The sequence below is a fragment of the Homo sapiens genome, chromosome 8 (genome assembly GCF_000001405.40).
Source record: "Homo sapiens chromosome 8, GRCh38.p14 Primary Assembly".
Lineage (NCBI taxonomy): Eukaryota > Metazoa > Chordata > Mammalia > Primates > Hominidae > Homo > Homo sapiens.
In genome coordinates this window covers 42093356-42105427 of record NC_000008.11, presented here as the reverse complement: position 1 = coordinate 42105427, position 12072 = coordinate 42093356, and the positions used below count along the sequence as shown (strand labels likewise).

Genomic DNA, 12072 nt, shown 5'->3' with positions numbered 1-12072 from the left:
TGCCTCAGCCTCCCAAGTAGCTGGGATTACAGGCATTCGCTACCACGCCTGGCTAAATTTTGTATTTTTACAAACCACATAGAGATGGGGTTTCGCTACATTGGTCAGGCTGGTCTCAAACTCCTGACCTCAAGTGATCCACCCGCCTCGTCCTCCCAAAGTGTTGGGATTACAGGCGTGAGCCACGGCGCCCAGCCATGAATATGCATATTTACTTTTGAATCAGGCCACGCTTGGGTGTGTGCTCTGTCTCCTAATACCTGCACCTCCTCACCCTGCCAGAGCTCAGACACTGTGTCCAGCCCCAGCCCCGGCTACACTGTATGAGAGCCTGTAAGTCTCAGAGCTGGAAATTGAACCAGGCAGATCGACTTGAGCCTCCGTGATCTTAGTTTTTGGACAGAATTATTCAGCAGAGAAAAAAAGCAAAAAGGCAAATATGTCTCTCCTTGACTTTTTGAACATATGGAACACAGTTATAATAACTGTTTTAATGTCCTTGTCTGCTAATCCTGGCTTCTGTGTCAGTTCTATGTCAGTTTTGATTGATGTATTTATCTCCTTACTATGGGTCATATTTTCCTTCTTTGCATGACTGGTTATTTTTTATTGGATGTCAGACACCATGAATTTTACTTCGCTGGGTGCTGGATATGTTTGTGTTCCTATAAATAATTGTGTGCTTTGTTCTGCGATGCAGTTAAGTTTGTTGGAAACAGTTCAATCCCTTCGGGTTGCTGTCATGATTTGGTGGGGGATTCTGGCGCTGTGCTCAGTCTAGGCTAATTATTCCTCACTGCTGAGGCTAGTTTCTTCTGGGAAGCCTCCCTGGTGTCTGGGACTCTTCAGGCTTCTGCTCTGGCTGGTGGAAACAGACCCTGGTCCTGGTCCCGTGTCAGCACTGAGCACTCTTATCTTGAATTCTGTTGGGTGGTTCTGTCCCCAGCGTCTGATCGTTCCCTGGCACATCCGCACTGCTCAGCACTCAGTGAAGGCTCAGGAAGACCCTCTGCAGATCTCTGAGCTCTCTCCCTCTCTCCACGCAGCTCTCTCTTCTTTGGGACTTTGCCCCAAGAACTTTAGTCCCTGTGGCCTTTCTCCATTCTCAGCTCCGTCTCCCTGACCCAGGGAATCCCCTGGGCTCTGCCTCAGTCTCTCTTGCCTGTGCCCTGGCCTGGGAACCCTCACAGGCTGAGGCAATTGTAGGGTCAGCTCATTTCCCTCCTATCTCACAGGAGTCACTGTCCTTCATTACCTGATGTCCAGCATCTTGAAAACCAATGTTTTGTATATTATGTCTGTTTTTTGTGGTTGCTGTTGTTTCAGGTGGAAGGGTAAATGCGGCCCTGGTTGCTCCATGGTGACTGGAAATGGAGAAATAGCAATACATATTTAAGATAAATGTATTTTTAAAAATTCTTAAACTCTTAACCCCCAACATATTTCTCAATTCAGATTCTATGACAACAACTGGTATTTTAAAGATCCCATAAAGATTCCAAGTTATGAGAGTTAAAAATGATCCTAACAGATAGGAAAGGGACTCTCAAATCCTGTTTAAAGAGTGGTGGCTAGAAGTATTCCTGACTCTGTTTCTGATGGTTAGTGCAACTTAAAGAATGTTTAATAATTCTTACAGAATATCGGCAATATGCCTATAACTATGCTCAAGAATTAAGGGAGTGCCGGGCCCAGTGGCTCAAGCCTGTAATCCCAGCACTTTTGGAGGCCGAGGTGGGTGAATTGCTAGAGGTCAGGAGTTCGAGACCAGCCTGGCCAACATGGTGAAACCCCATCTCTACTAAAAAAAAAATACAAAAAATTAGGCTGGCATGGTGGCAGGTGCCTGTAATCCCAGCTACTCAGGAGGCTAAGGCAGGAGAATCACTTGAACCTGGGAGGCGGAGGTTGCAGTGAGCCAATATTGTACCACTGCACTCTAGTGTGGGTGACAGAGTGAGACTCCGTCTTAAAATAATAATAATAATAATAATAAAAGAAGGGAGTAGTCCTAACCTTAAAGAACTTGCAAATTTTTAGGGAGACAAGACATTTACACATGTAAAATGAAATCACAGGGTAGAATTGCTAATGTTTAGACGACTGATTAAGACAGTGAGTATAAAATACGATATGCTAGAAAGTATCTTGTTCCTGATGATAGACACTGGTAGGCTGTTCTACCCCGCCCACCTTTCTTTTCAAAACACTTCCATTCAAATAGATTAACATTCCCACGTTACCCGCTTCATTTGACAAGAACAAAAAGTTGACATGCCATAGCCGATACGGTAGATTGGTTCTCTCAATACTTATTTCAACCTCTCTTCTAGGGTACCTTCTTGCACTGCAAAAACAGGAAAGCTAAAACATGATTCTTCCCAGACTCCCTTGCAGCTGGGGGTCTGGATGGGATTCAGTTTCCACCAATCAGATGCCTCTTTTTTCAGAAGTGGATATGCAACTGAGTCAAGTGGGAAGAAAGGCAGCAGGCATTGGTTTCGTGGGTGTGAATTGCAGCAGGTGCAGCACGGCTTTGGAGCTGACTGTTGCAGTGGTGTTGCTGATCTACAGGACACAGCCAAGGCAGTGTGTTCCTGATCTTCAAAATCTGTGAAAGCAATATGGTAGCAGCCCCCCGGGACTCCCGACAGGCTAAGCTTATGATGCTCTATACAAGAGATCCTCCACCAGGGGCTATTTTGCTCCCAGTGGGGGCATTTAGCAAAGTCTGGACACATTTCTTTCTTTTTTTGAGATAGGGTCTTCCTCTGTCACCCAGGCTGGAGTGCAGTGGTACAATCATAGCTCACTGCAACCTCAAACTCCCCAGCTCAAGCAATCCTCCCCGTCTTAGCCTCCTGAGCAGCTAGGACTACAGGTGCGTGCCACCATGCCTGGCTAACTTTTAAAACTTTTTTGTAGAGATGGAGTCTCCCTATGTTGCCTAGGCTGGTTTTGAATTCCTGGGCTCAAGTGATCCTCCGGCTTCAGCCTCCCAAATTGCTGGGATTACAGGCATGAGCCGCAGTGCCTGGCCTGGAGACATTTCTTATTGTTGTGACTGAGGGTGTGCTATCTGTATCTAGTGGGTAGAAGCCAGTGATGTTGTGAGACATCCTATAATGCACAGGACAGCCCCCTCTACAAAGAATTATCCTGTCCCAAATGTCAACCATGTCTGTCCTAGAGCCTGCGTTTTGCATGGTGGTGTCCTGATTCCAAAAGTTTCCAGTAATGATGAAGTAGCCAGGTGGTTTCCTTTTTTTTTGAGATGGAGTTTCACTCTTGTTGCCCAGGCTGGAGTGCAATGGCGTGATCTCGGCTCACTGCAACCCCCGCCTCCCGGGTTCAAGCAATTCTCCTGCCTCAGCCTCCCAAGTAGCTGGGATTACAGGCATGTGCCACCACGCCCAGCTAATTCTGTATTTTTAGTAGAGACGGGTCACCATGTTGGTCAGGCTGGTCTCGAACTCCTGACCTCAGGTAATCCTCTCACCTTGGCCTCCCAAAGTGCTGGGATTACAGGTGTAAGCCACCGTGCCCGGCCAGGCAGTTTACTTTTATTTGCATTTATGTTACTGGATTTATTCCTGAGCCATAACTTTTTGTTTCTTTGGTTTCTTTTGGCATATCTTTTTCTTCTGTGCTACCTCCTCTTCCAGTTTAGGAACAATTTGTTCTTTTTCAGGAAGGGTCATCTCAGAATGTCAAGAGGCTCATCTGACCGTGAGCTCTCTCAGTTTGATAGGCATCTTGGGGGCTTTGTTCGCCTTCATGTGCTCAATGACTAGAGAATCTACATACAAATTCTTAAGGTCAGCATTACTCTCTGCATCTTGGGACAGCAATAATTCATCACTCTTTTTGGGCCACTGACCCTGCATTACCCCCACGGTCTGGCCTGGGCACTGCTGTCAACTCCACCATGGTAAGGCAGCATGGCACACATTGCTTCTATATTGCGGCATCTTTCAGATACTGGGTAGCTTTTGGTATAGGTAAAGCCTTGGTGGCTTGGGCAGTTTCACTGGTATTCCTGAAGTGAACACAAAGATTGGATTTGTGCAATCTTGTGGAGTTTTCTGGGTCAAGTGAGTAATGCACCATTTTCAGAGATTAACTTAGGCCACTTACGGGAAAAGCAGAGGGTCACTTGGGCCCTGTCATTCTGAGACTCATTCCTAGAGGTCCAGCCTAAAGCCTGCTTTTCCAACTGCAAACATTTCTGTAAGCATCTAATTCCTTGGATTAAATTCCTTTTCTGTTTAAGATACCCAGAGCAGTTTCTAATCTGTGATTGAAGCCTGACGCACATGCCACTGCAGGAACTGATCCCCTATGATCTCGCCATTGAAAAAATGCACAAAATGTAATTTTGTGCTAACGAACCATGAGAAGTGTTAAGCTCTTGTTTATTTTTTTGTCTCTCTCCTTTAACTCATGGAGGCATCTGTCAATCTGTATGTAGAATTATGTGTAATACGCTTGCTCCAAGGTTTTTAAGATAGCACAAAGCAAAGATACCCAGAAAGCAAGAAGATGCAAGGGACCTTTAACGATGTGTCAGGAAAGAAATTCCTGACATTTTCAAATATAAACAAACAGACAAACAAGAATGCACGAAGGCCTGGAGTGGGCATGAAGGCTTGCTGGAGGCAGCACTGGGCAGGCGGGGAGAGCAAGGACACTGGTCAAGAGCAGCTGTTTGGGTTAGAACGCTGGCTCTGTGTCCTGGGGAAGTTGATTAACTTCATCTATAAGTTGGCAATTGATAATAGTCTCTATGTCATAGGGACAAGTAATCCATATATGTAAAGCATGCAAATGCTGCTTGATGCATAATAATACCTTTTTTTTTTTTTTGACGGGGTTTTCACTGTCACCCAGGCTAGAATGCAGTGATGCAATCACGACTCACCGCAGCCTCCACTTCCTGGGCTCAGGTGATTCTCCCATCTCAGCCTCCTCACAGGCATGTGCCACCATGCCCAGCTAATTTTCTGTATTTTTTTTTTTTGAGACAGTGTCTTGCTCTGTTGTGCAGGCTGGAATGCAGTGGCACAATCTCTGTTCACTGCAACCTCCGCCTCCCGGTTCAAGTGATTCTCATGTCTCAGCCTCCTGAGTAGCTGGGATTACAGGCGTGCACCACCATGCCCAGCTAATTTTTGTATTTTTAGTAGAGACGGGGTTTCACCATGTTGACCAAGCTTGTCTCGAACTCCTTATCTCAAGTGATCCTCCCCCTTGGCCTCCCAAAGTGCTGGGATTACAGGTGTGAGCCACCGCATCCAGCAGTAATGCTTTTAAAAGGCATATATATACATATATATATATATATATATTTTTTTTTTTTTTTTTTTTTATTTTGAGACAGAGTCTCCCTCTGCCACCCAGGCTGGAGTGCAGTGGCCCAATCTCGGCTCACTGCAAGCTCCGCCTCCCAGGTTCATGCCATTCTCCTGCCTCAGCCTCCCGAATAGCTGGGACTACAGGCGCCCGCCACCACTCCGGGCTAATTTTTTGTATTTTTAGTAGAGATGGGGTTTCACCATGTTAGCCAGGATGGTCTTGATCTCCTGATCTCGTGATCCGCCTGCCTCGGCCTCCCAAAGTGCTGGGATTACAGGCATGAGCCACCGCGCCCGGCCTAAAAAGTATATTAAATCAAATAAAAATGGAGTCAGAACTTCAGTTGGATAGAATGCACATTATCAAATGAGTGAAGAGACTTTCGAGGTAGGTAAAAGAATAGCAAGGCTGGAACACAGGAAGGAAACTGGCTCCAGTTCTGTGCAAGCTGGTATCGAGAGATGGTGACATCAAATATCAGCAGAGTAAGGGAAGGGTAAGGGTGGAGGGTCTTGAACAGCTTCCTAAATAGGCTGGGCTGTAACCTGCAAAAAATTGAGATGCGGCTGTGCGCTGTGGCTCATGCCTGTAATCTCAGCACTTTGGGAGGCCAAGGCAGGCAGATCACCTGAGGTCAGGAGTTCGAGACCTGCCTGGCCAACATGGCAAAACTCCATCTCCACTAAAAATACAAAAAAGTAGCCAGGCGTGGTGCATGCCTGTAATCTCAGCTACTTGGGAGGCTGAGGCACAAGAATTGCTTGAACCCGGGAGGTGGAGGTTGCAGTGAATCAAGATCGTGCCTCTGCACTCCAGCCTGAGCAACAGAGTGAGACTCTGTCTCAAAAAAATAAGTAAATAAAATTGAGACGCTACTGAAGGGTGTTCAGCAGGCAAGGGATGTGGAGACAGTGATGTTTTAGGAAGACTGCCTGAGGGGACTTTTTGGGTGTACTCCCACACCTTCATGCCAACCAGACACACCCACAAGCCAGTTGCCAGTTGGCCCATAAAAGGACGCTTTAACACCCACAAATGTTCATGGCAGCCATATGGCCTTTCTCCACTTTAAACCTTCTGTCCTGCCCAAGACAGCTTCAGTGGCCCAAGCAGCGGAAGGAAAGTTTGGGATTTAGTTAGTAATTAATTTTAATAAATGATGGTCTTAAAAATACCATAGTTGTTCTATAAATTATATTTTAGGTAAAAAATTATTGGTGTCCCTTGGCTGATATTTTTTTAATGTCTGAGCCAGATCTTTACGGGTCCTAAGTGCTCCCTGGTCTTATGAATTCAGTCTTCTTAGACAATATCTTCCACAGTCATCCATCTGAGGTCATTTCCACAACCAGTCACCCCAAATGACAAACTAAGCATGAACGGTTGTTTCTTTCTTTCTTTTCTATATGATGTTGGGGGGAGTCTTTTGGGTGGTTTAATCAAAAACAGGATAATTCCAAATTTCTTTTTGTTATCTGAACTAAGCCCATGGCATTTGGAAATGAAGATGTTAGAAATATCTAGAAAATAGACTATAGAGTTCTGGGTGCAGGGAGGGGGATAGGAGACATGAGAATGTGGAGGATCATTTTGGTGGATTTGGTGTTAGTGATTGGATGGGTAGCATCATTGAGAAGGAAAAAAGAAGAGGAGGATCAGGGCCACCACCATAAATTTACATGGTCCAATGCGAAATAAAAATGCAAGATCTTGTTGAGGCCAGGCATGGTGGCTTATGCCTGTAATCCCAGTACTTTGTGAGGCCAAGGTAGGAAGATCACTTGAGCCCAGGAGTTCAAGACCAGCCTGGGCAACATAGTGAGACCCTGTGTCTGTTAAAAAAAATTTTTTTTAGGTTTTTCTTTAAAAGACCCCTTGCTGAAAATGCAGGAAAAACTCTTTTCCGTTTCTTCCATGACCGCTGTCTTTTGGCTTGTCATGGTGGTCTTCACTTCCTATTTAAGGTTGTCCTCCCTTGGACACAGATATTCGTAGGGTGAGTCAGACCCTCACAGACTCCTGAGGCCCATACCTCACGATTGAGCACAGGGCTAGTAGGTTCCCAGCTTCTGCCAGCCAGGGACCAACGTTCCTATAAGTCAAGCCAGGCATCTCTCCTTCCCCGTCGCCTGTAGTCCCAACCCACAGAAGATGGGTGGCTGTCAAGAGTATTGCTACTTCTGTGCCAGGCCGATGCGAGGCACCTGGATAGTGGTGGGCAACAGGCTTTCCCTTGCTTAACTGCACCCTGAATGTGCCATGGCACCTCCAGCCTGGGACTGGATGGCCACTGCTATGCCTTGCCCTGAGATACCACAGTGTACGTGTGCCCAACCCATGCCCAGGACTCCACCCCAGGGGGTGCAGAAGGTGGCAGCAGTCACAGGGGATGGGGAGGGGAGCCGTGTGGTGCCAGGGGGCAGGAGCAGTGGGCTGAGAGCCTGTCCCAGAGGTACAGGGATGGTATGTCAACTGAAGCTCCAAGCACCCAGCACACTCTCCATTGTGCCATAGGACTTCACTGACAAAACACACACTCAAAGATAACATTATGAAGCATTTCAAAACAGCTATCAAAGGGCATCAAACGTCAGGCATGGGGACTTTCTGAGCACAGGGTGTGACCCAACAACCGTGCAGTGTGGCTACACTGTTGCACAGCTGTTGCTGTGTTCTGAATATTTGTGTTCCCCTAGAATTCATATGTTGAAACCCTAATTCTCCATGTGACTATGTTTGGAGATAGGGCTTTTAGGAGGTAATTAAGGTGAAATGAGGTCATAAGGGCAGATCCTAATCCGATAAGACTTGTGTCCCTATCAGAAGAGAGAGAGACCGGGCTCAGTGGCTCACACCTGTAATCCCAGCACGTTGGGAGGCTGAGGCAGGTGGATCACTTGAGGTCAGGAGTTCGAGACCAGCCTGGCCAACATGGTGAAACCCCATCTCTACTAAAAATACAAAAATTAGCCAGGCATGGTGGCACACGCTTGTAATCCTAGCTACTGAGGAGGCTGAGGCAGGAGAGAATTGCTTGAACACAGGAGGCAGAGGTTGCAGTGAGCTGAGATCACGCCACTGCACTCCAGCTTGGATGACAGAGTGAGTCTCCATCTCAAAAAAAAAAAATGAAGAGAGGGAGAGACAGTAAACTACACTTTCTCAATGAGCATGCATCGAGGAAAGGCCATGTGAGCATACATGAGAAGGCAGCTGTCTGCAAGCCAGGAAGAGAGCCCTCACCAGAACACGCAGATGCCCTGATCTCAGACTTCCAGGCTCCAGAATTGTGAGAAAATAAATTTCTGTTATTTAAGCCACTGAGTCTATGGCATTTTGTTCTGGCAGCCTGAGCCATCTAATGCACCTGTGGAGCCAGACCTGCGAGCAGAAAGATCATGAATTCCATTATGAACCTGTTGAGTTAGGGGATCTAAGTGACACTCAACTGGCAATTCCTCATATACAAACTAATAGATCCAGTGGCCATGAGAGAAGCTAGAAATACCAGTTTGGGAGTCATTAATATACAAATAGTAATTAGATCCATGGGAGTGGATGAGATCACCCAAGCATGGTGTTTGAAGTGAGAAGAGAGTGAAGTTAGAAACCAAGGTGGGGGTGCCAACATTTAGAAGGTGGCTGAAAGACAAAGAGTAGGAAAGATCAAAAAGAAAGGAGGAAATCCAAGAGTAGAGCATGGTATTCTGGAAACCAAAGAAAGGTAGAAATTAGTCAGCTTGTTAAACACTGTTAACAAGTCAAGCAAGACAAAGATTGGAGAATGCCTGGTGGATCTGGCCATGAGGAGGTCTCGGGAAGGTAATCTGGTTTGAAGAGTGAAACTAGAAGCCAAACTGGGATGAAGTGAGGAGTGCAAGGGTGAGAGGCAGCATGGGGAAGCCCTATGTCAGTGGGGCTGTATCAGATCCACCCACAAGCTGCAAAGGTTAAGATTCCTGGGCTCTTCGTGAAGGGACTATAATTTGGTAGCTCTGGGGTGAGACCCAAGAATCTGTTGGTTTTTTTTCCTTATCCGACCTCTAGATGATTTTGATGCCCTGGCAGGTTTGGGAACTACTGAGAGAATGCAAATAACATGAACTGCATTCAGAGAGACTAGAGTTGCAATCTTGATTCTGTCACATTTTTGCTGTTTGAACCAGAATGAGACACTTCAATCTCTTTGAGCTTCAAGTACCTCATTCACATACAAAACAGTGATAGTCTTTGTATTATTGATTTGAAGATTGAAGAGTATATATATAATCTGGCGCAGAGTAAATATTTAGTAAATAGCGGCCTGTGCTACTGACAGTGGATAGAATGAATATAGACTTTCTCTCAATAAAGAGGTTGGCTAGGAGGGGCAGGAGAAAGAAGGGTCAATCCTTACAGTACTACGTCTCAAAGAGGGACAGTATTTTGTCTTGTCTTGGTTTTTGTAAGATAGCAGAGATGCGAGCACATCTGTAAGCTGGGACACAAGGGCAAGGTAGGGTACGATGAGTCCACATCTCTGAGTTGATGGGAGGAACTGCCACGAAAGCACAGATGGAAGGATTAGCTTTGGGCAGAAGAAATGCCTTGGGAGGAAGTTAGTTGGTGTGGGGGCAGGACATTCAGGGGTTTCGCTCCTGATAATTCAATTTTTTTCTGTGAAGTGGGAGGCAGTGTCATATACCAAGAGGAGTAGGAATCTTGAGTGTAGGCAAGGTCTGGAGAGAAAGTGTTGGGAGTGTGAGGAATGATAGAGCTGGATGACAAAAGATACACAGATAGGGTAACATGGGTGCCAAGGGCTTAGTTTAGATTAGAGACCACCAACTTCTTCTTTGCTTCTCCCTATAATATCTGTGCTGCCTTTAGCTAGCCTCTATATTTGTTTGGAAACAACAGATATACCACTGGTAAGTGCTGAATGTCTGTGCCAGGCACTGCACTAAGCATTTTTCATGTGTTATCTCACTTAATCCTTACAACGGTCCCACCATGTCGGTACCATCCACGATCCCTGTTATAGATGATGAGCTGAGGCTTAGAGAAGTTCATTAATTTGCCCAAGGTTACACAGTTAAGCAGTTGCACAGTAAGATCTCTATTTCAGATCTGACTCCAGAGTTTTTATTCTTAACTGTGGCACACCACACATTAATTGGGATTAGATTTTGTTGGCACACATAATGGAAAATCAAAACGTGGATCAGACAAGATACAGGTTTATTCTTTTTCTTTTTCTTTTTTTTTTTTTTTTTTTTTGAGACTGAGTTTCACTCTGTTGCCCAGACTGAAGTGCAGTGGTGTGATCTCGCCTCACTGTAACCTCTGTCTCCAGGGTTTAAGTGACTCCCCTGCCTCAGCCTCCCGAGTAGATGGGACTACAGGCACTTGGCTAATTTTTGTATTTTTAGTAGAGACAGGGTTATACCATGTTGGCCAGGCTGGTCTCAAACTCCTGACCTCAGGTGATCCACCTGCTTCGGCCTCCTAAAGGGCTGGGATTACAGGCGTAAGCCACTGTGCCTGGCCAGGTTTGTTCTTTTTCATGTAATGGAAACTCAGAGGCAGGGAGCTCACAACTGGGGTGGCAGCTCCACAATCATCAAGTTCCCAGGCCTTTTCTATCTTTCTGGTCCACATCTTTAACATGTGACTTCCATTCACAAGGTTGCTTCATTGTCCAAATGCTCCTGGAGTTCCAAACCTTACATCCACATTCCAGAAAGCAAGAAGGTACAAGAAGCGAAAGGGGGCCTATCAGGGTCTGCCCTCCTTTTGAAGAATTTCCCTGCAAGTCCTACCCAATTACTTCTGCGTACATCTCACTGATGTAAGATCTTCTCCATAGATACAGGAGAAACGGGAGTATGTCATCTCAAGGGCACATTTTGCTATCCATAACATAATTGAGTTTTGTTAGTAAGGAAGAAGGAGAAAGCAGATATTGGGTGGGCAACTAGCAGTATTTGCCATACAATGAGTCTCACATATACTTGAAACCATAGGGGGAAATCTGCTAATTCTCATTTCATTAATATGCAAGCCAAGCAGTTCTTGCGAAACTTTCCAAACTCACTAAGAAGCAGGCATGCTCGGCCGGGCACCGTGGCTCACACCTGTAATCCCAGCACTTTGGGAGGCCGAGGCGGGCAGATCACCTGAAGTTGGGAGTTCGAGACCAGCCTGACCAACATGGAGAAACCCCGTCTCAATTAAAAGTACAAAATTAGCCAGGCATAGTGGTGCATGCTTGTAATCCCAGCTACTCAGGAGGCTCAGACAGGAGAATTGCTTGAACCTGGGAGGCCGAGGTTGCAGTGAGCCAAGATTGCACCATTGCACTCCAGCCTGGACAACAAGAGCGAAACTCCATCTCAAAATAAATAAATAAATAGAAGCAGGTGTGCTTTCTCAGTAGTAGATTCATAGTAGAATGCTTCAATAATGTCTTAATGTGAAGGCGTAATTATTACATAAATTAGAGACATTTTAACTCCTAGTGAGAGAAGATCGAACACAAATTGGCTTAACTTTAAAACAAACTGGCTTAAACCTTGATTAGGCTAGCTGGTGAAGTCCAGTGGGCCTTGGAGGTGTTTTGGGCAGAATGACTCCTGATAAAAGTTGGAGCTAGGCCGGGCACAGTGGCTCATGCCTGTAATTCCAGCACTTTGGGAGGCTGAGGCGGGAGGATCACTTGAGGTCAGGAGTTTGAGA

At 45.9% G+C, this 12072-nt stretch overlaps 1 long non-coding RNA gene and 1 pseudogene across 1 annotated transcript in view; both read right to left on the bottom strand.

Moving 5' to 3' along the window:
- Window positions 1-440: 440 nt before the first annotated feature.
- KAT6A-AS1 (KAT6A antisense RNA 1) overlaps window positions 441-12072 on the bottom strand; it is a 53238-nt gene continuing 41606 nt past the window's right edge. The window contains exon 2 of the long non-coding RNA NR_136589.1: window positions 441-1364. This is a non-coding gene — a long non-coding RNA (KAT6A antisense RNA 1). The remainder of the gene's footprint in view (window positions 1365-12072) is intronic.
- On the bottom strand, window positions 3588-4110 carry RPL17P30 (ribosomal protein L17 pseudogene 30; annotated as a pseudogene).